The sequence below is a fragment of the Homo sapiens genome, chromosome 5 (genome assembly GCF_000001405.40).
Source record: "Homo sapiens chromosome 5, GRCh38.p14 Primary Assembly".
In the NCBI taxonomy this organism is placed as follows: domain Eukaryota; kingdom Metazoa; phylum Chordata; class Mammalia; order Primates; family Hominidae; genus Homo; species Homo sapiens.
This window is the reverse complement of record NC_000005.10, coordinates 134,989,518-135,015,810: the sequence shown is the minus strand read 5'-3', so window position 1 is coordinate 135,015,810 and position 26,293 is coordinate 134,989,518. Positions and strand designations below refer to the sequence as shown.

The 26,293-nt window shown below is 47.0% G+C and overlaps 1 protein-coding gene across 1 annotated transcript in view, besides 1 other annotated feature; it reads right to left on the bottom strand.

The window, feature by feature from the left end:
* Positions 1–4,114: 4,114 nt before the first annotated feature.
* CATSPER3 (cation channel sperm associated 3) overlaps positions 4,115–26,293 on the bottom strand; it is a 43,790-nt gene continuing 21,611 nt past the window's right edge. Inside the window, exons 3-8 of the mRNA NM_178019.3 lie at positions 19,299–19,538; positions 7,672–7,854; positions 6,830–6,970; positions 6,321–6,440; positions 5,281–5,438; positions 4,115–4,290 (exon numbers count right to left, since the gene is read on the bottom strand). Of these exons, the coding sequence (NP_821138.1) occupies positions 4,188–4,290; positions 5,281–5,438; positions 6,321–6,440; positions 6,830–6,970; positions 7,672–7,854; positions 19,299–19,538 (945 nt within the window). The 3' untranslated portion in view covers positions 4,115–4,187. The remainder of the gene's footprint in view (positions 4,291–5,280; positions 5,439–6,320; positions 6,441–6,829; positions 6,971–7,671; positions 7,855–19,298; positions 19,539–26,293) is intronic.
* Positions 25,086–25,650: an enhancer, noted in NCBI's record as "OCT4-NANOG hESC enhancer chr5:134325851-134326415 (GRCh37/hg19 assembly coordinates)". NCBI's record gives its function as "activates a minimal SCP1, AML or CMV promoter by ChIP-STARR-seq in naive and primed H9 embryonic stem cells {active_cell/tissue: H9 hESC(naive and primed)}" and the evidence as "EXISTENCE:reporter gene assay evidence [ECO:0000049][PMID:30033119]".

Below are 26,293 nucleotides of genomic sequence, written 5' to 3'. Positions count from 1 at the left end.
CATTTCCCACTGTTAACCCAGTAGGTCTCTATTATGCAGGGTGATCTTTTATATAACCTGAATATAACCCAGACTCCACCTGGTCTAATCTATCCATAGGGCTTCATTTTTAAAAGGTAGAGCAACCAAAAATAATTTTTAGATAATTCCAATCATCATTTGCCTCTCTCAAAGAACACCCATAGGGATCCCACTGTTAACCCACAAGGACACTTAACCTTAACCCCCTCCTTTATCCTGTCTCCAGGACATGCCCACCAGCTATATCATAGCTGCTGTCCACAATTCCCAGACTCTCAGCCCTCAGATTTTGCTTCCTTCTTCCCTCCATTTTCCCGGCTCCCTGTTGTGTTTTCATCCAACCTCGCTGGTCTTTTAACTTTCCCTCTGTTTTGCCCATTGACCAGCATGGAGGAGAATGCAGGAGCTGGCTGAGAAAGCAAAAATACTCCCCTTTCCCTCTAGCTCTGCAGGCCTGGCTCTCCACCATTCTCCTAATGCCACATCACACAAAGCCTACAATAAAGTCAAACATAGAACTTGGGGCAGGTGTAGCCTGTGGCCGACCAAGCACAGACAAAATTCTTTGTAGCACAGTATGGGGAAGAGTGGGGATGCCCGTGTGTTGATAGATTTTTGCACCGTCACATTTATCTCCTTCCCCTCTTTCCAACCCCTGTGACTATAATCAGAACAACCTCCTCTCTTTTCTGAGTAGCCTAGTCAGGAATTCAGAACCATCGTCTCTCTTGAGGGCCTGTAGGACAACACAGCAGACCCATCTGGGGCCAGGGACAAAGCCTGACACAGGCAGAGATGCCCAGAGAGCCAGACCTGACCTGTTGAAGGCCAGTTTGCTCTAGGAGGTGTGCTAAAGCATTTGAAGAAAGCCTCAAGGGGCACGGTCTCCAGAGTCCCAGTATCAGATTTCTAGGGGCTGTTGGAATGGACAGGGGCATTCACATTCTCAATCACTGCCTCGATCTCCACAATACAGGGCCTGCTTCCTGCTGGTGGAATCAGAAAGCAGTTTTAAAAAAAGAAAATCCAGCCACCTTCCAAACACCTCCAGCCTTGAATTCCAGATCCATCCCACAAGAACTGGGGGAGGGCTTGGGCATGACCAGGAGGAGACTCGGGCCCAAGTCCCCTGTATCCCACTGTGGCCCCCAAACCATCAGACTGGCAGGCTGGAGACGAAGGAGCCATTTAGGGTCAACCCTACTAGATCCCAGGGTCGGGGGAGGGTGAGGAGGGTCCTGCTTTCCACAGCCAGGCGTGGGTAAGCAGAGCCACTTCTGCCCCAAGCAAATCAATTAAAGGTCTTGGCCAAGCCTGTTTGAGTTGGTGAGAGCCCAAGTGGGAATTCCAATCTGCCGTGTTTGCTCTGCAGGCGAATAGAGCCAAACAGAAATGCTGCTTTGTGACTTTGTGCCAAATATCCATCAGCTTGCTCTGCCAGCAGTGCTGGGCCGGCCCTGTAAACGTCACCTCTGCCCCCACCAGCTCTCTGCTCTCTGAAAGCCTTCTTCTTGTGCCCTTAAAGTCAGCTTGCCTTTTGATACAATTTGGATGTGTGTCCCCTCCAAATCTCATGTTGAAATGTGACTCCCAATGTTGGAGGTGGAGACTAGTGGGAGGTGTTGGATCATGGGGGCGGCTCCCTTGTGAACGGCTTGGTGCCCCCACTTCGTGATGAGTGAGAGCTCACTCTGTTAGTTCACTCGGGAGCTGGTTGTTTAAAAGAGTCTGGTAGCCCTCCTCCCCTCTCTCTTGCTCCTTCTCTCACCACATGACACACACGGGCTCTGCTTTGCCTTCCACCATGAGTAGGAGCTTCTTGAGGCCTCACCAGAAGCAGGTGCTGCCATGCCTCCTGGACAGCCTGCAGAACCATGAGCCAAATAAACCTCTTTTCTTTTAAATTGCCCAGCCTCCAGTATTCTTTTATAGCAACACAAAATGGACGAATGCACCCTCCCACACCACACCCTGGTGGCTGTGCCCAAAGTCTGCCTTCCTAGGCATGGGATCTAGGCCTTCCAGATCTGACGTGCCATCTGCCTATTCTGAACCAGCTCCATCCTGGGACCCATTCATACCCCTGTATAGTTCATGACCTCTGCATCCTGCTCTCAGCTCCATACTTTCCCCACCAACACCAGCGTCAAGCTCGCCTTGTCCTTCTCAGCCCCTGACCAGCACAGCCCACTACACGTGCCCCCAGCAGAGGCGCAGGGCTGACAGTGGGGAAGGGTGAACCATGAGTTGACTACCTCTTTTCTCACACCTTACAGAGATTTGATCCTTGCACCCAGTCATTTTATCATCGCATTTCTCACAGGAAATAGGTGAGGCTTGAAAGACCAGACACTTTACCCAAGGTCTCCCTAACAGGGAACACAGGTGTCCCAACTCCAAAACCATGGCACTTTCTACCTTGCCCCACTGAGGCCAATTTTTAAATCTTTTTTTCACTCTCAGATGCCTAGAGCAATTCCAAGGATTCCTGATGAGAGTAGCTGGATATGTTTTAGCGTTCCCATGGCTATGTTGGCACACCCTGTGTGAGCAGCTGGCAATGTCTGCTTTGCCCCGGCCCTGAACTGGAGCCATTGCCTGGGGCCTGCCTGCCCTACTAATGGGGCTGCACCCACAAGAGCACCCCTGGAAGCCCCAAGCCTGGCGTCATCCCTGGACCTGTCAGACCCAGAGCAACTCCCCCTGTCATGAGGGGCACAAACACCCTATCTACCCCAGCCCAGCTTCAGGGCATGGACACAAAGCTCTCTCCGTGCCGGAAGTGGCCAGGCATTTCCTGCCCTCAGAGGATTCCCCCACAGCACCTCAACAGGTCTCACCCTGAAGAGCCATCCTTCTTTCACACTGTTTTCATGATGCTCAATGTGGCCCTGATTCTCTCTACGCAGTCCCCCCACCCTGAATTCAATGATTGTCACTTCCTCAGTGGCTGGATGACTGTCTTCCCTACAAAACTGTGAGCACCAAGAGAGCCAGGGAGAGACCACGGGTTTCTCATCATAGAAGCCCCAGCACCCAGCATAGCTCAGTAGATAGCAGTCGGATGTATAGATGAAACCAGGAGGACAGGTTCCTACGGCCCCTGTCCTGTGGCTTCAGGGGTGCCACCACCCAGGGCTGACTGTTTGTGTGGCCACTCTCCGCTCTACCCCATGCATTTTCTGCTAACCTGAATCCCCAGTGTGGGTATGGGGCCTTTCTGCACCCAGCTATAGGTCCCAGTCCCAGAACACCCCTCCCCCTCTGTGTGAGGTGGCACTGCCAAGGTGACAGGCCTCGGGCATACTCTCCAGCAATGGTGTAGAGTGGGCACTGCCAGGCCTCTGGGCTGGCCAGTCTGAAGCAAGGAGAGTCACCTGTGCTGTGCTACCCTGCTGGGGCCTTCAGATGGTTCCATCATGGCTAAGCCAGAGTGGTGCCAGGACCTTGATGGCCCTGGTAGTCATTTGGCTAGGAATGACAGAGAAAATGCCACCTTTTAAGTGAAGAGTCCTACCTAACCATATGAGGCAGCAGCCCACAGTGCTGATGATGCCACCTGCCCTGGGCTCTGTGCAAGGTGCCCTGGCATTGCCAGCAGGCCACTCCCCCAGATTGAGCTCCAGGCCCACACGACAGAATCCTGCCAGTCCTAGCAGCACCCCTTAGGCTGAGCCTAGGGGAACTCAGAGTAGCCTTCCAAAGAAGGGTCTCTGCAGCAGTGGGCCCACAGAGAGAGATGTGACTCTGTCAGTATGAGAACACCCACACCCAGATCAACAGGGCCACACCAGCTCAAGGGGGCCATGTGCTTTGGGGGGTAGCTGGAGGCCCTCTTGGTCTGTGGTCCTCAGGCAGCTTCCCCAGGTCCTTGCTGCTAGGTCCAGGGAGCCTAGAGCCAGCATGGGCCCTGGATCTGGCCTCTGGCCAGGACAAGTCTTGAGCTTCCCTCTCCCCATTCCCTAGGTCTGCATGTCCTGTGGTGGGGGACGGGGAGTTGGCTCTGGGGAATCACACTTCATGAGCACCTGTCCAGGCCCAACTCTAAAAGGTGGGGAAATGCCATAATCACAGCAACTCTGGAGAGGACAACTCAGAAAGCCTGTGTTTAATAGGGACCTGTCATGGTCTGCAAGGCTCTCGGCACATGGGTGCCCCATGCCCAGCTACTTCTCATCCACCTTTTCCAAGGACTGGGGCTTCTCCTGGGGCAAGTCTTCCAGCATTAGGCTCAGCACATGCACGATCTCATAGTACAGCTCTTGAAGCCTGAAAAATGGAGCAGGAGGAGATAAGATCTGAGGTCAGAGGCAGGCTCCAGGACCCCCTGGCCCCACTGACCACACGTTTGCACCTGCACAGGTGTAGGGTCAAAGAAGAGCAAGGACTTCAGAGCCAGATGAGGCTGGGTTGGAATCTTGGATCTGCCACTCTGCCTGGGGCCCCCTGGAGCAAAGTATTTTACTTCATGTGTCAGGTGGAAATAAATTCTTAGGTCCTGAGAGAAGTAACTGTGTGGAGGTGCCCAGAGAGTGACTGACCCCTGCTGGGCCAAAAGTGGGCATTCCCCAACAATGCCTTCCTTTTTGGTTTCTCCCATCTCTAAAGCCCTCCAAGCAGCTTTCATTGAGAAGCCAGGCTAATTATATCTGTCCTCACTGAAGAGTCCACTGTAGCTCCCTAGTGCCCACAGCCCACCGTAGCTCCTGATGCCCACAGCCAGGTTTTTACATCCTTCCTGCTCAGTAATGGCTGCTCATAATCCCAGCTGACTCACACTGAGCACAAGCCCTGGGCCAGGCCACACTCAGAGCTTCACATATACTGTTTTCATTGAATCAGCCCAGTAGCCCCTCATGTGACAGATGGGAAAGGGGCAGAGAATTGCCCAAGGCCACACAGGAAGGTAGTGGCACAACCAGGCCAGAAGCTGAGGCTACCCAGTGGTCTTTCCTCTGCACTCTGAAAAGGGGTTAGTGAGGAGAGGCCTGGAGACTTCAAGGAGCTGGCATTTACATACAAGTCAAGGTGGGTTGGGGAGGGGCAGGAGGGGCAGATTCCCCCCAGCCATGGCCCGTCCACACAGCAGCCCAGCCCCTGTGTATATATGGAATCCTGTAACCCCAAGAAAGCCATGTTCCACCCACCCACTGCCCATCAGCACTTCAGTCATCACCCCCTTCACTCTCCCAGGGCACCTGACACAGCCCAACCTCGAGGAAGCCCTAGGGACCAGGGAAGGCTGGGGCTGGAACTGACTTGTGGACAGTTGTGTCCTGGTAGTCCAGAGTGGAAAAGTAGATATCGATGAAGGGTAAGCTAGTGCCAAAATCATCCAAGACCATTGGGTCAGTGTGGCTCAAGGTCTTCTTAAAGTTCTCCACCAGCTCACTGAAACTTGTGCAGTCAGCATTTTTCTAGAGAGGAAAGCATAACGAGAGAGCAGTGATGAGGAGGTGACAGCCGAGCTGCACAGAGACATGGAGACTCTCCAGGATGGGCCCCAGGCAGCGGCCTGACCCTGGTCCTGGAAGGAAGCTTCAGCCTTGTCACAACTTCATCCTGACCCCTTCTGAACCTGGACTCCGGGGTGAGGCGGCCACCATTGAGGACAGGCAGCACATGAAGTCCAACTGAGGCTCAGCGCAGGCTCTCCCAACCCTGGACGAACCTTGGGCACGGTGAAGACAGGCACATGTCTCCACCCCAGAGAAGAGGACAAGGAGAGACACACCCACCAAGGGAGGGAGGCCCAGCAGAGCACCCAAAGCTCAGCATGGGAGGCTTAGAGCACTCAGGCTCAGGGGGAAAATTCACCCGGGTCCCTCATGGTTGCATCATGCTTGACAGAAAATCTCCAGCCTGGTTTGCCCATTCTTGTTCTGGGTTTAGGAATGTGAGAGAACCAAGGTTGTCTGGCACTCTGTCAGAGCCTCTGCATCCTCGTCCACTCAGTGGCCTGGGGCCATGGCTGCCTGGCATCCAGTGAGTCCCCAAGAAGAAGCCTCAGCACAGATTGCCTGGCCCCAAAGGGCCCAGCAGTGGAGTTCTGCCCACAACAGAGGGAGACATTATAATCACAGTACTCAACACTCCGAGAGGTCCAGAGAAACACAAAAATGCCGAGAATAAAGGCTGATTCTATAAAACATTGGAGGAAGGCAGCTGTCTTACCTAAGGCTGCAGATGCCTGAGGCCACCTGCTCTCTACACAGGCACCACGGCCCCTCCTCCTGGCCATCTCATCAGCCTGACGATCCATCCACCCATCTGTCCACCTGCCTGCAGGGGCCACTCACCTGTATGTGCATCAGCCTGCTGATCTCCTCCTGCTGCCGCTGCAGAATCACCTGCTTCTCTCCCATGAGCATCTCCTGCTGCTCCAACATCAGCTCTCGCTCAAACTTTCTGATGGAGTCCTAGAGAGTCAGACGATGGAGGTCAACTACAGGCTCTCGCTACATGCCCAGACCCAGTCTTTCCTCTTCCCCAGTCTTGCACCGCTGCTCAGGCCCTCAGCAGGAGCACTTTTCCCCACACAGGGCCAGCCGCCACTCAAGCTGCCAACTGTAGCTGCAGAGGCTTCTTAAGCCCCACCGTCCTGTTGACCACCATCAGCAGGCAAGGCAAATGCACTGGCTCAGGGAGGAGAGTTGGGCCGGGTGAGGGACAGGTCCATCTGGCCACCTCTACTCCACTTCATTGGGAAGACACAGCTACACAGCTCCAGGTCCTCCCTGGAGACTTGCCCTACAGCTCCATCTGCCACACCTGCCCTGACCTCCGATCCTCACAGGTGTGGCCTCACCTCTGTGTGCATGATCATCACACCCACGAACATGTTGAGGAAGATGAAAGAGGCGAGCAAGATGAAGATGATGGTGAATGCCCGGCTCAAAGCAAATTCCCGATTGTCCAACTGCTTCTGCAGGTCTGTCCAGCCATCAACCTGCTCAGGCAGGGAAGAGTATGCTGAGGGCCCAGACCCAGTGGCACAGGCCTCCTTTTCACCTATGCTAGAGGAGTCCCAGGCCCACTGAGGAGAAGGGTGGCTCCGCTTCCACGTCATCCCCTCAACACCTCCCAGTCCACTGGCTCCAGCACATACGTGATGGCCTGGGAATGCAGAGCACCCCTGGGTGGGGATGCTATTGACCAACATGCCTCGAGGTCTCTTTTCTCAAGGCCTCCCAACCTTCCCAGAAAGACACTGCCTCTCTGCCAGGCCCACCTTTAAAAAGACCCCACTCTTTCCAGAGTCCAACAGAATCTAGATTTCTAGATTTGGGTTTTGCATGCTTCTTCTAGGTGGATTTGTGACAGCCAATTCCCCAAAGGCTATATGACATGGGTTTCATTTATAAATTAAACTTAATCCAAATGAATTATCATTTGAGGACTCTGCAAAGTTTGATCACCCTGTGAGACATGTGGAAGCACTATAAGGAATCACAGGCCTAGAGACAGCGATGGAGCCCCGTGCAGGGTGCTGGCTTGTGATGGGGAACAGACCCCAGCTTCCCTAGGCCCAGATGAGTACCTGGACATGAGGAAAGCCCCATGTGAGGCCCCACATGTCCACACGCTTGCACCACCTAGGCTGTCCCTTCCTAAGGCCCCTGCCCTCACCACTGTTCCCAAACACAGTACCGTGGCCAAGCTGAAGAGGGTGAAAAAAGCTGCAGCCAGGTTCCCCCAGTTATCATGGTCACCATTGTCTGGAGATCCAAACAGGCAGAAGCCCAAGATAGCGAAGATGTACATGAGGAGGAAGAGCAGGAGGAGCACAGAGGCCACGGTGTAGACTGTCTGCCCCACGGCGGTGATCAGCGTCTGCAAGGCAGGGACACTGTGGTAGGCGAGGGTACCACCAAGCTGGGTGGGCTCCAGGGACAGAGGTCCATTCTGCCCAGTTCACAGCTGTCCCCAGCAACTGTTGCCATGCCTGGCACAAGGTAGATGCTCAATAAGGGTGGGTGGGTGGGTTGGTTGGTTGGTTGAATAAACTAACGAATTAATGAAGTGAATCAGAACTGTGCCCAGATTGAGGGCTGGATCAATTTAACAGTGCTTTACCAGTGTCTGACATCCACCCTCAGTCAATTCTCTCAGGTCTGAGGTGACCACTCCACTTGAACCCCAACCTGGCTGTGTGGTCATCTCAGGGCGTCCTGCTTTTGCTTCTCAGCTGAGGGCCAGCCCTGAATGCTCTCTGCCCCGGGCCCAGGAGGAGTAGGGGAACGACTCTGGGAGTGAGTATACAGAAGGCCGAGAGGAATGTGGCTCCCTGGTCCTTGTCGACCCCGTCTTCACAGGTAGGTCCCTGTCTTGTAACCTCAGTCTTGCCCCGTATGAAGTGGGCATTTGTCTTATCTCCCCGCTACATTGCCCATTTCTGGGGAGCACCGTGTATGACTCCTTATCATTCATTCTTCCTGCTCTGGAGTCTTGCATGCAGTAGTCACTCAATGCATGTTCACCTACCTAGACGTTTCACAGACATAACCTCAAGGTAGGTAGGTGTTATCATTCTTCCCACTTCAAAATGAGCCGTCAGAGGCTCAAAGAAGCAAATTGTCTTGGCCAGGGTCACACTCCAATACAATGGCAGAGCTGGGACCAACTCTCAAAGCCTTTGCCCCATGCCACCACCTTCAACCACTAATGACCCTGAGCACAGAGACTGTTTACTGGCTTAGTACTAGGAAAGGAGGTCCTTAGAGCTAAGAAACAAGGCAGTACAGTTTGGACAGTTTGGGGTAACCTGGGAAACAGAGGCAGTCCAAGAGCCCTGGGCTGCCCTCCATGCGGAACGGTTTGGCGCTGCCTGCAGGGGTGAATGCACACCAGATGCCTCCCATCTCTCCTTGGGAAAAGAAAATAAATGTTTTTGGATTAATTGCAAAACAGCTGAGATTTTATTATTATTATTATTATTATTTTTTTTTTTTTTCGAGACGGAGTCGCTCTGTCACCCAGGCTGGAGTGCAGTGGCGCAATCTCGGCTCACTGCAAGCTCTGCCTCCCGGGTTCATGCCATTCTCCTGCCTCAGCCTCCCAAGTAGCTGGGACTACAGGTGCCCGCCACTGCGCCCGGCTAATTTTTTTTTGTATTTTTAGTAGAGATGAGGTTTCACGTGTTAGCCAGGATGGTCTCGATCTCCCGACCTCGTGATCCACCCACCTTGGCCTCCCAAAGTGCTGGGATTACAGGTGTGAGCCACGGCGCCCAGCCGATATTTTTTTTTTCTTAATGCCTTCCTCCCAACTAAACAGAGGCAGAACTTCTTTCCCAAGGACTAAGATGAAAGCAGTAAATCCTCATGAGAAAAGCTGTGATGAGATATGGTCTGCAGATCAGGTTTTGAGTGGGAAGGGAGGAACACTGGGTGGTAGAATCCAAAGCCTGTGCAGAAGGGTTGCGGAGAGGCCTGGTTGGGCCTCCCACCTCCAGGCCAGCCCACAAGCTGGTGCCACCTGAGGTCCAAGCTGAGCAACCTTTAGAGCAGCAGTGGAGGAACAGACACGCTCTCCTGGGAGCCCCATAAAGGACCCATGACAGCTAGAGTTGGCCAAGTTCTTTAAGCACAATCCACGCAGGCCCTCTTAGGGTGCAGTCCAGAAAGGTGCGGAAATCCAGTCCTAGGAGAGGGTTGCCCAGTTCCCCTTAGGCCAGTAGCTCCCTCCTGAGGAAGTTCTAAGTTTTGAGGCCCATGGTCTGGCCCCCATTGGATGTGTGATTTTGAATTCCCAAATTCTTTTGGGGGGGCAATTCCCTGTACCCAGTTCAGCTCTCCCGGGCTCTGGATCAAGCCACAGCCCTGGGGCATTCTGGATGTGGAAAGGAGCTCCAGGCAAGGCAGGTGCCCAGGCCCAGTGCTTGGAGGGACCCCTCCTACACAGCCCATTGGATGTGTGGAAGATGATCTGGCCCCAGGAGGAGGAGGCAGGGAGGAAGGGGGACTAATGCTCACATCACAGCCCAGCATCTGAAGGTTGCTTCCGGCTGAAATGCTGATGAACATTTGTGCATCTCTGTGCAAAACAGCATTTCCTCATGGTGCAGGTTCATTGTCATAGGTAGAAGGCAGAGTGTCATTTTAATTAATCAGGGGTCAGGAGCCAAGAATGCGCCAGAGCGCCATCTCTGGGCTCTGAGATTGTAGCTCTTTATTTAAGGATTCCTTTAGACTTCAATTAATAGAAATTAGCCCAGAGGTACAAGTCCCGACCATGGGCAGGTCCAGCTCCCCATGGCCAGCAGGCCAGCCAACATTCAGAGGGCATGTTATCCAGGGTCACTTCTGTGCCTCTGGGGATCTAGGGTCCCATGACATCCCAAGGCTACAGGAGAGCCACAGCTCAGGGTGGCTGGTGATCCCCAGGGAATCACTCTAGGATGCAAGGCCCTGCTTAATGACAGAAAAACCATGAGGCCAAACCTGTGGTGCATGCGTGTGTGCCTGTTGCCTCTGCATGCCCAGGGTCTCTGTGCATGCCTGCAAGGGCCAAAGGCTGAGCAGTCCCCAAGCAGGCCGGCTTGCTCTGGGATACAGCCCTTGGCCAGCAGGAGCCTTTGCCTTCTAATCAGGCTGCCACAATACAGCCAAGACGGTGCACTAAGCCAGCAGCAAGTGCCCCCAGCCTTGAGGTGCCAGTCTGGGTCAATGCCCCTTTCTTCCAAGATGGAAGCCCTCCCTGCCACCAGTCCTTTTTGCTTCCCTCCTCCCTGTGTGGTCCTGGGTCTCCTTTTCCTCAGCCCCCTGCCCTCCGCCCTGTTCCTCGCATGATTCCCACTGGTCTCTGGCACCCTCATTCCACAGTTCCTCTCTCCTGGCCTCACCTGAAAGTCCTCTCTCAGCAGAGGACATCACAACCCAGTTCCCCTCTCCAAGAAGGCTGCCTATCCCCGACAGCCCTCAGATTCAGGGGGCCACCATCTACCTTATCCTGGGATCCCCTGTTTTCACAGGCACAGACCCTGCTTTTGGGCAGGGCCAACCTTCCAGCTTCCCCCTCTCCCTCATGTCTTGAAGTCTCTGCCTCCAGACTCAGTACCTCCTTCTCCAGGCAACCCTGCTGTCAGCCTGGGGACCTTCCACATCTTTATGGAAGATGCCAGGCCTCTTCACCCCTGGACTTCCCTCTCTAGTGACCCTGGTGCCACTCCTGGCCCCTGCTCCCTTGGTGCCCAACACCTGGAAAAACCAGATTACACTTCCCACTGCCAGATCCCGCCCTCACTCTGGGGTGCCCATCTGACCATGAACACCTCGGGCCTCCAGTCTTCTTTCCCGTCCACCTGCCTTCCTCTCATCCCTGCTGACTCCAGTGCCCAGCACCTTACATACTCCCTTCCTCTTAGGACACACTGCAAGGTCTGTCTGTAGCCTGAAAATGGGGAGCCACCCTCAGGCTTGAAACCTAGGATGCTATGATTGGATGTGCACTTTCAAGATCCTCCCCACCCCACACGGGCATTTCTGTTCCAGGGCTCCCAGTAGTGTGGGACGCCAATGCAGGAATCCAGGTGAGGCTGATGGTGACAGGAATGAAGAGATGTGGACAAGTCAATAACCACTGAGGAGGCCACACAACAAAGCTTGAGAGAGGAGTCTAAGCTGACAGTCAAATTTATGACTTGGCAACTGAATGCGGGTGGGGGACCCCTCTTTACCAAAAGACGAAATACTGGAGGAGATGATGGCTGAATAAGAACAACTCCAGTCTATAGCTCCCAGTGTGAGTGACGCAGAAGATGGGTAATTTCTGCATTTCCAACTGAGGTACTGAGTTCATCTCACTGGGGCTTGTCGGACAGCGGGTGCAGGACAGTGGGTGGAGCCCACTGAGTGAGAGCCGAAGCAGGGCGAGGCATCGCCTCACCCAGGAAGCACAAGGAATCAGGAAATTCCCTTTGCTAGCCAAGGGAAGCTGTGACAGACGGCGCCTGGAAAATCGGGTCACTCCCACCTAATACTGCACTTTTCCAACAGTCTTAGCAAATGGCACACCAGGAGATTAATATCCCGCACCTGGCTAAGAGGGTCCCATGCTCACGGAGACTTGCTTATTGCTAGCACAGCAGTCTGAGATTGAACTGCAAGGCAGCAGCGAGGCTGCGGGATGGGCGCCTGCCATTGCTGAGGCTTGAGTAGGTAAACAAAGCGGCTGGGAAGCTCAAACTGAGTGGAGCCCACAGCAGCTCAAGGAGGCCTGCCTGCCTCTGTAGACTCCACCTCTGAGGGCAGGGCATAGCTGAACAAAAGGCAGCAGAAACTTCTGCAGACTTAAATTTCCCTGTCTGACAGCTTTGAAGAGAGCAGTGGTTCTCCCAGCACGGAGTTTGAGATCTCAGAATGGACAGACTGCCTCCTCAAGTGGGTCCCTGATCCCCGAGTAGCCTAACTGGGAAGCACCCCCAAGTAGGGGCAGACTGACACCTCACATGGCCGGGTGCCCCTCTGAGATGAAGCTTCCAGAGAAACAATCAGGCAGCAACCTTTGCTGTTATGCAATATTCGCTGTTTTGCAGCCTCCACTGCTGATACCCAGGCAAACAGGGTCTGGAGTGGACCTCCAGCAAACTCCAACAGATCTGCAGCTGAGGGTCCTGACTGTTAGAAGGAAAACTAACAAACAGAAAGGACATCCACACCAAAACCCCATCTGTAAGTCACCATCATCAAAGACCAAAGGTAGATAAAACCACAAAGATGGGGAGAAACCAGAGCAGAAAAACTGAAAATTCTAAAAATCAGAGCACCTGTCCCCCTCCAAAGGAACGCAGCTCCTCACCAGCAATGGAACAAAGCTGGATGGAGAATGACTTTGATGAGTTGAGAGAAGAAGGCTTCAGACGATCAAACTTCTCCAAGCTAAAGGAGGATGTTCGAACCCATCACAAAGAAGCTAAAAACCTTGAAAAAAGATTAGACAAATGGCTAACTAGAATAACCAGTGTAGAGAAGGCCTTAAATGACCTGACGGAGCTGAAAACCATGGTACGAGAACTACGCGATGCATGCACAAGCTTCAGTAGCCGATTCAATCAACTGGAAGAAAGGGTATCAGTGATTGAAGATCAAATGAATGAAATGAAGCGAGAAGTTTAGAGAAAAAAGAGTAAAACGAACAAAGCCTCCAAGAAATATGGGACTATGTGAAAAGACCAAACCTATGTCTGATTGGTGTACCTGAAAGTGACAGGGAGAATGGAACCAAGTTGGAAAACACTCTGCAGGATATTATCCAGGGGAACTTCCCCAACCTAGCAAGGCAGGCCAACACTCAAATTCAGGAAATACAGAGAACACCACAAAGATACTCCTCGAGAAGAGCAACTCCAAGACTCATAATTGTCAGATTCACCAAAGTTGAAATGAAGGAAAAAATGTTAAGGGCAGCCAGAGAGAAAGGTCGGGTTACCCACAAAGGGAAGCCCATCAGACTAACAGCTGATCTCTCGGCAGAAATTCTACAAGCCAGAAGAGAGTGGGGGCCAATATTCAACATTCTGAAAGAAAAGAATTTTCAACCCAGAATTTCATATCCAGCCAAACTAAGCTTCATAAGTGAAGGAGAAATAAAATACTTTACAGACAAGCAAATGCTGAGAGATTTTGTCACCACCAGGCCTCCCCTAAAAGAGCTCCTGAAGGAAGCACTAAACATGGAAAGGAACAACCAGTAACAGCCACTGCAAAAACATGCCAAATTGTAAAGACCATCAAGGCTAGGAAGAAACTGCATCAACTAACGAGCAAAATAACCAGCTAACATCATAATGACAGGATCAAATTCACACATAACAATATTAACCTTAAATGTAAATGGGCTCAATGCTCCAATTAAAAGACACAGACTGGCAAATTGGATAAAGAGTCAAGACCCATCAGTGTGCTGTATTCAGGAGACCCATCTCACGTGCAGAGACACACATAGGCTCAAAATAAAGGGATGGAGGAAAATCTACCAAGCAAATGGAAAACAAAAAAAGGCAGGGGTTGCAATCCTAGTCTCTGATAAAACAGACTTTAAACCAACAAAGATCAAAAGAGACAAAGAAGGCCATTACATAATGGTAAAGGGATCAATTCAACATGAAGAGCTAACTATCCTAAATATATATGCACCCAATACAGGAGCACCCAGATTCATAAAGCAAGTCCTTAGAGACCTACAAAGAGACTTAGACTCCCACACAATAATAATGGGAGACTTTAACACCCCACTGTCAATATTTAACACCCCACTGTCAATATTAGACAGATCAATGAGACAGAAAGTTAACAAGGATATCCAGGAATTGAACTCAGCTCTGCGCCAAGCAGATCTAATAGACATCTATAGAACTCTCCACCAAAAATCAACAGAATATACATTCTTCTCAGCAACACATCGCACTTATTCCAAAATTGACCACACAGTTGGAAGTAAAGCACTCCTCAGCAAATGTAAAAGAACAGAAATTATAACAAACTGTCTCTCAGACCACAGTGCAATCAAACTAGAACTCAGGATTAAGAAACTCACTCAAAACCGCTCAACTACATGGAAACTGAACAACCTGCTCCTGAATGACTACATAACCTGCTCCTGAATGACTACATAACGAAATGAATGCAGAAATAAAGATGTTCTTTGAAAACAAGGAGAACAAAGACACAGCATACCAGAATCTCTGGGACACATTTAAAGCAGTGTGTACAGGGAAATTTATAGCTCTAAATGCCCACAAGAGAAAGCAGGAAAGATCTAAAATTGACACCCTAACATCACAATTAAAAAAACTAGAGAAGCAAGAGCAAACACATTCAAAAGCTAGCAGAAGGCAAGAAATAACTAAGATCAGATAAGAACTGAAGGAGATAGAGAGACAAAAAGAAACCCTTCAAAAAAATCAATGAATCCAGGAGCTGGTTTTTTGAAAAGATCAACAAAATTGATAGACCACTAGCAAGACTAATAAAGAAGAAAAGAGAGAAGAATCAAATAGACACAATAAAAAATGATAAAGGGGTTATCACCACCAATCCCACAGAAATACAAACTACCATCCGATAATACTATGAACACCTCTACACAAATAAACTAGAAAATCTAGAAGAAATGGATAAATTCCTGGACACCTACACCCTCCCAAGACTAAACCAGGAAGAAGTTGAATCCCTGAATAGACCAATAACAGGCTCTGAAATTGAGGCAGTAATTAATAGCCTACCAACCAAAAAAACTCCAGGACCAGATGGATTCACAGCCAAATTCTACCAGAGGTACAAGGAGGAGCTGGTACCATTCCTTCTGAAACTATTCCAATTGATAGAAAAAGAGGGAATCCTCCCTAACTCATTTTATGAGGCCAACATCATCCTGATACCAAAGCCTGGCAAAGACACAACAAAAAAAGAGAATTTTAGACCAATATCCCTGATGAACATCAATGCAAAAATCCTCAATAAAATACTGGCAAACCGAATCCAGCAGCACATCAAAAAGCTTATCCACCATGATCAAGTGGGCTTCATCCCTGGGATGCAAGGCTGCATCCTATGGGACGCAACATATGCAAATCAATAAACGTAATCCATCATATAAACAGAACCAAAGACAAAAACCACGTGATTATCTCAACAGATGTAGAAAAGGCCTTTGACAAAATTCAACAGCCCTTCATGCTAAAAACTCTCAATAAATTAGGTACTGATGGGACGTATCTCAAAATAATAAGAGCTATTTATGACAAATCCACAGCCGATACCATACTGAATGCGCAAAAACTGGAAGCATTCCCTTTGAAAACTGGCACAAGACAGGGATGCCCTCTCTCACCACTCCTATTCAACATAGTGTTGGAAGTTCTGGCCAGGGCAATCAGGCAGGAGAAAGAAATACAGAGTATTCAATTAGGAAAAGAGGAAGTCAAATTGTCCCTGTTTGCAGATGACATGATTGTATATTTAGAAAACCCCATCGTCTCAGCCCAAAATCTCCTTGAGCTGATAAGCAACTTCAGCAAAGTCTCAGGATACAAAATCAATGTGCAAAAATCACAAGCATTCCTATACACCAATAACACACAAACAGAGAGCCAAATAATGAGTGAACTCCCATTCACAATTGCTTCAAAGAGAATAAATACCTAGAAATCCAACTTACAAGGGATGTGAAGGACTTCTTCAAGGAGAACTACAAACCACTGCCCAGTGAAATAAAAGAGGATACAAACAAATGGAAGAATGTTCCATGCTCATGGATAGGAAGAATCAATATCGTGAAAATGGCCATACTGCCCAAGGTAATTTATAGATTCAATGCCATCCCCATCAAGCTACCAATGACTTTCTTCAGAGAATTGGAAAAAACTACTTTAAAGTTCATATGGAACCAAAAAAGAGCCCGCATTGCCAAGACAATCCTAAGCCAAAAGAACAAAGCTGGAGGCATCATGCTACCTGACTTCAAACTACAAGGCTGCAGTAACCAAAACAGCATGGTACTGGTACCAAAACAGAGATATAGACCAATGGAACAAAACAGAGCCCTCAGAAATAATACCACACAACTACAACCATCTGATCTTTGACAAACCTGAGAAAAACAAGCAATGGGGAAAGGATTCCCTATTTAATAAATGGTGCTGGGAAAACTGGCTAGCCATATGTAGAAAGCTGAAACTGGATCCCTTCCTTACACCTTATACAAAAATTAATTCAAGATGGATTAAAGACTTAAATGCTAGACCTAAAACCATAAAAACACTAGAAGAAAACCTAGGCAATACCATTCAGGACATAGGCATGGCAAGGACTTCATGTCTAAAACACCAAAAGCAAGGGCAACAAAAGCCAAAATTGACTAATGGGATCTAATGAAACTAAAGAGCTTCTGCACAGCAAAAGAAACCACCGTCAGAGTGAACAGGCAACCTACAGAATGGGAGAAAATTTTTGCAATCTACCCATCTGACAAAGGGCTAATATCCAGAATCTCAAAGAACTTAAATTTACAAGAAAAAATCAAACAACCCCATCAAAAAGTGGGCAAAGGATATGAACAGACACTCTCAAAAGAAGACATTTACACAGCCAACAGATACATGAAAAAATGCTCATCATCACTGGCCATCAGAGAAATGCAAATCAAAACCACAATGAGATACCATCTCATACCAGTTAGAATGGCGATTATTAAAAAGTCAGGAAACAACAGGTGCTGGAGAGGATGTGGAGAAATAGGAACACTTTTACACTGTTGGTGGGACTGTAAACTAGTTCAACCATTGTGGAAGACAGTGTGGCGATTCCTCAAGGATCTATAACTAGAAATACCATTTGACCCAGCCATCCCATTACTGGGTATATACCCAAAGGATTATAAATCATGCTGCTATAAAGACACATGCACATGTATGTTTATTGTGGCACTATTCACAATAGCAAAGACTTGGAACCAACCCGAATGCCCATCAATGATAGGCTGGATTAAGAAAATGTGGCACATATACACCACGGAATACTATGCAGCCATAAAAAAGGATGAGTTCATGTCGTTTGTAGGGACATGGATGAAGATGGAAATGATCATTCTCAGCAAACTATCACAAGGACAGAAAACCAAACACTGCATATTCTCACTTATAGGTGGGAACTGAACAATGAGAACACTTAGACCCAGGAAGGGGAACATCACACACCGGGGCCTGTCATGGAGGGGTGGCGGGGAGGGATAGTATTAGGAGATATACCTAATGTAAATGACAAGTTAATGGGTGCAGCACACCAACATGGCACATGTATACATATGTAACAAACCTGCACGTTGTGCACGTGTACCCTAGAACTTAAAGAATAATTTTTAAAAAAACAACAAAAAAAAGAAATACTGGAGGGGAAGCCAGGGTTTGGGATTTGAGGTTGGGGATGGGGGTGAGTGACAACTTCAGTTTAGACACATCAAATTTGAGAAGCCTGTGAGATGCCCAGAGGGCAGCTGGGTCTAAAGGTCAAAGAGAGAGGGGTAGGCAGGTGGAGGGTCCTGGAAAGTGGAAAAGATCACCCAGAGAGAATGTGCAGAGGGAGCAGAGGAGGAGAACTCAGGGACCATCCCGAGAAAACAGCGTGTATGAGCCAGGCAAAGGATAAACGCTCCTGAGAAGTCAGGCTGGAGGAAAACCAAGAGAAAGCAGTGACAAGGATGCCAAGGGAACTGGCCACTGGATTTGGAGACAAGGAGGCTGCTGGCAACTTCAGAGAGGCTAGATATTCTGGAGTGTAGGGAAAACAGCTAGGGCATAAATGACGGACAGGGAAGTGGGACTGGAAGTACAGACACCTTTCCCCAGAAGGTTCGCCATGAAGAGAAGGAGAGGGAGGGCTGGACTGCGTTGTTTGAGAGGGGACACACACAGGCAGGCGTTTGTTTACATGACAGCAAGAAACAAACAAAGGTGTGTATGCAGCAGGGGAGACCTCTAACGTTCCCCTTCTCTTTTCTACCCAGGCCTGGGGCTCCCAGAGTGTGGGGCCAGGCCCTAGACGGCCAGCCACCCAAGCCCAGGCGAGGGGCAGCCTCCGGCAGGACAGGACGACACACCCCGACTGAACACGGGAACCCAGACCAGCCCCCACCTGGAGAAGGATGGACACTGGGTGCAGAGCTAGGTGAACCTACGGTGCACAGGACAAGTGCCTGAGGGCACGATTCAAGGCAGGGGGGCAGCCCTGAGGTTCTTTCTGAAGCCTCTGAGTCAAGGGAGTGTTGGTCATGGTTTTCAGCAACCCAGAAAGACTTCTCAGCAGGAGTAGCCCTTCCAGAGCCACCTTAACGAAGCACAGAGACTATTTCCAGCAAGAGAGCAGACTCAGCTGTTTGGGGAAAGCAGCTAGTGGCCTGGGCCACCAAAAAGCCAAGGCGTCCTGGGCATGTAGTTCAAAGGATGCATAGCATAAGAAAATCAGGCACTTTGCAGCATGAGAGAGAGGAAAAGTTCAGACGTGGCCTCTGGAGTCAGGCACGCCTTTCAAATCTCAGCTCTGACATTGCACCGCTGGGTGACCTTGGGCTTCAATTTCTTCATCTGTAAAATGGAGCTAATAATACCATTCTTAGAATTGTTTTAAGATTAAATGAGATAATATTGGTAAAGATCAACCTGCCACACACGTTGGACTCAACAACTGGAAGATGGTAGTAGAGTCATTATTTCCTTAGTGTCTTGGGGGCAAATGGGCCTACGGCCTGCCCTCCCAGCACCATGACACCCCCAGTGCACTCACCCGGATGCCCTGGCTATAGCCGATAAGCTTGAGGATGCGCAGGGACTGCATGCCATCAGCGATATACAGGTAAGTGAACTGTTTGCCCATGAGCTGGCGGAGGGCATAGGGTAAAAACATAACGATGATAATGATCACATCCAGCAGGTTGTAGCCGTTCTTCCAGTAGTTGATGGGGTCCACATAGACCTTCATGGACAACTCAGATGTGCAGATGGACACAAAGAAGATCTCCGAGAACTACAGGGGTAGCAAGGGTTGGAGAAGTCAGATCGAGCTGCACAGCCCTAGAGCTCTGGCCTGCTCCCTGCGTGAGCCCCGGAAGGGGTGCTCCTAAGTCACCCACATGAGAGAGAAACCCAGGCAGAGTTTCTGGCACACAGCACACGCTCAGTGTGCCTGATTCCCTTCCCCTTCTCTGTCCTCCCTACCCCGTGGCCCTACACCTGGGGCTGGGTCTGACCCTGGGTACTTGGGAATGACTGCCTGGCAGACAGAATGACTGTATAAGCTCTAGCATACTGCAACTCAACCTGAATATAAGGTTTCCCAAGGGAAGGTCCCAAGAGTTTTCTGACCAACATGAATATACAAACTTTTAGGAATATAGATGAAATACTCAGATATCTACTTATGTTTAATCTATTAACTTAATCATACATATTCAATCTGTTTCTGAAGAATATTCTTTTACACTTTATGAACGAATCTTCTTCAAATTCTTTTCATGCATCTACAACTCTAATGGCTTTGTTTTTACCAAGAAGTACTCTTTGTGTCATCTAAGTGTTTCCTTCCCATCAAAATGGACTTATCTTGACTATCATGCAAATCCATTCATTCACTGGAAGAGCTGTGACTGAGCACCCACCCTGTAACAAGCAAACATCATTTTAGGCACCGGGAAATGCAACAATGAGTAAGGCAGAAAACGTCCAGCCCCCGGGAAGCTTACAGTCTAGTAGGAGAGACAGAAATAAATGCTGGAACAAATGTATATAGAATATAATGTCAGGCAGGAAGGAAAATAAACCAGCCAAAGAAGATAAAGGGACTCGCCAGGTTGGAGGAGAAGAGGAAGTCCTAGCAGCTATTTTAGAAAAGATGGAAGCAACCAAACACAGAAGGACAAATATCACATGTTCTCACTCATATGTGGGAGCTAAAAAAGTGGATCTCATGAAGATAGAGAGTAGACTAGTGGTTACCAGAGGCCAGGAAGGGCAGGGGATGAAGAGAGGTTGGTTAATGGTTACAAATACACACCGAGAAGAAATAAGACCTAATGTTCAATAGATCAGTGAAGTGACTATAGTTAACATCAATCTATTGTGCATTTCAAGATAACTAGAAGAGAATAATTCAAATGTTCCTAGCACAAGAAAAAGATAAATATTTAAGGCAATTATCCTGATTTGATTATATGAATGTATCAAGTAGCCCAAAATATGTACATCTAATATGTATTGGAAGGAAGGAAGGAAGGAAAAAGAGAGAGAGAGGGATGAAGGAAGGGAGGGAGGAAGGAAAGAAAGAAAGGAGGCAGAGAGGAAGGAAGAAAGAAAGGAAGGAAGGGAGGGAGGTAGGGAGGGAGGGAAAGAAAAGGTGGTCGACAGAGGTCTCGCTGAAGCCAGGAATTGAGACAAAATAAAAACTGGGGGAACACTTTGAGGAAGTGAAGAAATGGTGAGTCCAAGAGCCCCAGGGAGAAAAAGAGGCTGTTCAAGGAACAGCAAAGTCAGCATGGCTAGAACAGAGAGAGAGAGAGCAGAGCAGCAGAGGTGGTTAGACAAGCAAACTGTCATGCCTTGTAGGCCTGGTGAGGACTTTGAATTTTAATCTCAGCCTCAGAGGATTTTGAGGAAGGAAGTGATCTGAACTAATTTACATTTTTAAGATATCTCACAACAATTCTTGTATGTTTTATTGTACACATGTCTAAAGTATCTCTCAGATATATACCTAGGAGTGGAATTACTGCGTTGTAGGATATGAACATCTTAACTTCACTATATATTGGCAAATTGTTTTCTGAAGTTATTGAACCAATCTACTTTAATATCAGCAATGTTCCTCTTGTTCTACATCTTTGCTAACACTTTGACTATCAGACTTCATCAATGTGACAAATATGAAATAGTATCCTATTTTTAAATTTTCATTTCTCTATTAATAAAGTTGGGCATTTTTATATGTTTAAATTATGAATTGCCTGTTTCTAATCTTTTGCCAAATTTTCTGCTGGATTGTTTTGTCTTTTTCTTATTGATCAGGAAGACATCTTTATACATTTTGAATCCTAATGCTTTGCCTGTTATATGTGTTACAAATATCTTCTCCCACACCGACTTATCACATTGACTTTTCACCTTTTTTATAGTTTTTTTTGAGACAGAGTCTCAATCTGTCACCCAGGCTGGAGTGCAGTGGCACAATCTCAGCACACTGCAACCTCCGCCTCCCAGGTTCAAGCAACTCTCCTGCCTCAGCTTCCCAGGTAGCTGGGATTACAGGCACCTGCCACCACGCCTGGCTAATTTTTGTATTTTTAGTAGAGATGGAGTTTCACCATGTTGGCCAGGCTGATCTCGAACTCCTGATCTCACGTGATCTGCCCGCATTGGCCTCCCAAAGTGCTGGGATTACAGGTGTGAGCCACTGCGCCTGGACAGTTTTATATGTTTATAATTATACCTTCCATGCAGGTAAACCATATAGTCCAGGTTAGTTTGTTTTGGGCAGTAGAAATTTTAAACTAAGACAATGCTTTATAGCCATTAAAGGATATATAATGTTTATTTCAAGTTTTTGCTTATTGAGAATCAGTTTTATAATTTTTTTTAGAAAATTATCTATTTCAGCTAGGTTTTCAAATTTATTGGCATAAAATTGTTAGACTTCTGATATCTACCGTATCTGTACTTCCCTTTTTAATTCCTAATTTAGGGCTTCTATTTATCTTGATCGTCTCATGAAGAAAGTTCTTTATTTTATAATTATTTTCTGTGATCTAACTTTGACTTTATTGATATTTTCTTTTTAACTATTTTGTTGATACTATCATTTTTAACCATTTTAAGGTGTACAATTCAGTGGCACTAAGCACATTCACAATATTGTACAACTATTACTACCATTTCCAGAAGGATTTCATCATCCCAAATGGAAACTCTGTACCCAATAAACAATAAGTTCTCATTCCCCTCTCCCCGCAACCCTAGGTAATCTCTAGTCTACTCTCTGATGGTATGAATTTGCCTATTCTAGGTATCTCATATGGGTGAAACCATACAATATTTGTCCCTTTGTGTCTGGCTTTTTTCACTTCATGGAATGTTTCCAAGGTTCATTCCATGTTGTAGCACGTGGAATAGAATGCAGAATTCTATTTCTAGCATGTGTTGGTTTCTGATTTAAAAATAGAATTCTATTCCTTTTTAAAGATGAATAATATAGCATTGTATGCATCTACCATATTTTGTTTATTCATCTGTTGATGGGCATTTAGGCTGCTTCCACCTTTTGCCTATTGTGAATAATGCGGCTATGAACATGTATGCACAATACAAGTATCTGTTTGAGTCCCCACTTTACAATCTTTTGGGTATATACCCAGAAGTGGAATTGCCAGATCGTGGAATACTATGTTTAACTTTCTTAGGAACTGCCAAACTGTTTTCCACAGTAGTTGTACCATTGTTACACTCCCACAAGCAATGCAGTTCTAATTTCTCTACATCTTCACCGACACTTGTTAGTGTCCATTTGTTGTTGTTGTTTGTTTTTTGAGATGGAGTCTTGCTCTGTTGCCCAGGCTGGAGTGCAGTGGCATGATCTGAGTCTCACTGCAACCTCTGCCTCCCAGGTTCAAGTGATTCTCCTGCCTCAGCCCCCCAGGTAGCTGGGATTACTGGTGCCCACCAACACACCTGGCTAATTTTTGTATTTTCAGTAGAAATGAGGTTTCACCATGTTGGCCAAGCTGGTCTCGAACTCCTGATCTCAACTGATCCACCCGCTTCGGCCTTCCAAAGTGCTAGGATTACAGGTGTGAGCTACTGCACCCGGCCCCATTTTTTGTTTTTTTTAATAATAACTATTCTAATAGGTGTGAAATTGTATCTCATTGTGGTTTTCATTTGCATTTCCCTAACGACTAGTGATGTCAAACATCTTTTCATGTGCTTATTGGCCATTTGTAATATCTACTTTGGAGAAATGTCTATGTAAGTCTTTTGCCCATTTTTAGATTGGGTTGCTTGTTTTGTTGATGCTGTTGTTGAATTGTAGAAGTTCTTTATATATTCTAGATATCAATTCTTTATCAGATATATAATTTGCAAATATTTTCTCTCATTCTATGGATTGTCTTTTCACTTTTTTTTTTTTTCAAAACAGGGTCTTGCTCTGTCATCCAGGCTGGAGTGTAGTGGCATGACCATGGCTCACTGCAGCCTCAACCTCCCAGGCTCAAGCGATCCTCACACCTCAGCCTCCCAAGTAGCTGGGACCATAGGCACATGCCACCACACCTGGCTAATTTTTGTATTTTTTGTAGACAAGGTTCCATCAGGTTGGTCCAAACTCAAACTGGGCTCAAGCAATCCTCCCACCTCGGCCTCTCAAAGTGCTGAAACTACAAGCATGAACCATCATACTCAGCCTCTTTTCACCTTCTTGATAGTGTCCTTAGATGCATGAATGTTTTAATTTAATGAAGCCCAATTTGTCTGTTTTTTCTTTTGTTGTCTGTACTCTTAATGTCATGTGTAAGAATCCATTACCAAATCCAAGGTCATGAAGATTTACCCCTATGTTTTCTTCTAAAAGTTTTAGTTCTTATATTTAGGTTGTTGATTCATTTTGAGTTTGTTTTTGTGCACGGTGTGAGGTAGGTGTCAAACTTCAGTCTTTTGCATGTGAATACCAAGTTGTCCAAATACTATTTGTTGAAGAGACTACTACTCTTTCCCCATTGAATGGTCTTGACCCCGTTATCAAAAAATCAATTGACCATAGATATTTGAATTTATTTCTAGATTCTCAGTTCTATTCCCTTGGTCTATATGTCTATCCTATTGCTAGTACCATGCTGTTTTGATTACTATATCTTTGTAGTAAGTTTTGAAGTCAGAAAGTGCAAGTCCTCCAACTTTGTTCCTCGTTTTCAATATTGTTTTAGCTATTTGGGGCCTTTTACATATCCATATGAATTTGAAGATCTCCTTTTCCATTTCTGTAGCAATAAAAAACACTATTGGAATTTTGACAAAAATTGCATTGTATCTGTAGATTGCTTTGAAAAGTATTGCCATTTTAACAAGATTAAATCTCTTCCATGAACACAGGATGTCTTTTCATTTATTCAAGTCTTCTTTAATTTCTTTCAGCAATGTTTTATAGTTTTCAGTACTCATCTCTCATCACCTTAAATTTTTTCCTAGGTATTTTATCCTTTTGGATGCTCTTGTAAAGATAATTTTCTTAATTTCTTTTTCAGATTGTTAATTGATAGTGCATAGAAATACAATTGATTTTTTTCAGCTAATACAGTACAGAGAAAAAGAGAAATATAATTGATTTTGTTGTTAATCTTGTATCTTGCAACTTTGCTGAATTTGTTTAATACCTCTTGTGTGTATGTGAGTATATGGATTCTTTTAGGATTTCCTATATATAAGATCAAGTCATCTGCAAATAGAGATACAGGCATCCCTTGTTTTATTGCACTTCACTTTATTGCACTGTGCAGATCCTGCAGGTTTTTCACAAATTTAACTTTCGTGGCAACCCTACATCAAGCAAGTCTATTGGTGTCATTTTTCCAACGGTGTGTGCTTATTTCATGTTTCTGTGTCATATTTTGGTAATTCTCACAGTATTTCCAACTTTTTCATTATTATTATATCTGTTATGATGATCTGTGATCAGTGATCTTTGATGTTACTATTGTGAAAGGAAAATATCTTGGGCACTGAAATTACTAAGCTAAAGGGAGAAGTCAAGCTGAGAACTGCTTAGGGCAAACCTACCTCTCATTCTATTCAAAGTCACCCCTCTGCTCACTGAGATAAATGCATATCTGATTGCCACCTTTGGAGACGCTAATTAGAAACTCAAAAGAATGCAACCATTTGTCTCTTATCTACCTAGGACCTGAAAGTCCTCCCTGCTTGAGCTGTCCCGCCTTTCCAGACTGAGCCAATGTTCATCTTACATATGTTGAATGATGTCTCACGTCTGCCTGAAACGTATAAAACCAAACTGTGTTCTGACCACCTTGGGCACAAGTCGTCAGGACCTCCTGAGGCTGTGTCACAGTCATGCATCCTCAACCCTGGCAAAATAAACTTTCTAAATTTGCTGAGACCTGTCTCAGATTTTCGGGGTTCACGCTATTTTAATTGCTTGGGATGGCATAAACTGGATCCATATAATACAGCAAACTCAATGAATGTGCATGTTCGGACTGCTCCACTGACCAGCCATTCCTCCATCTCTCTCCCTCTCCTGGGGCCTCCTTATTCCTTGAGATGTAACAATATTGAAGTTAGGTCAGTTAATAACCCTACAATGATCTGTAAGTGTTCAAGTGAAATGAAGGGTTGCAAGTCTCTCACTTCAAATCAAAAGCTAGAAATAATTAATCTTAGTGAGGAAAGCATGTTGAAAACCTAGACCTCTTGCACCAAAAAGTTAGCCAAGTTGGGAATAGAAAGGAAAAGTTCTTGAAGAAAATTAAAAGTTATTCCAGTAAACACATACATGATAAGAAAGCAAAACAGCCCTATTGCTCATATGGAGAAAGTTTTGGCAGTCTGTACAGATCAAACCAGCCACAACATTCCTTAAAACCAAGGCCTAATCCAGAGCAAGGCCCTAATTCTCTTCAATTGTTTGAAGTCTGAGAGAGAGAAGGAGGCTGCCGGAGAAAAGCTGAAAGCTAGCAGAGGTTGGTTCTTGAGGTTTGAGAAAATAACTTATCTCCACAACAT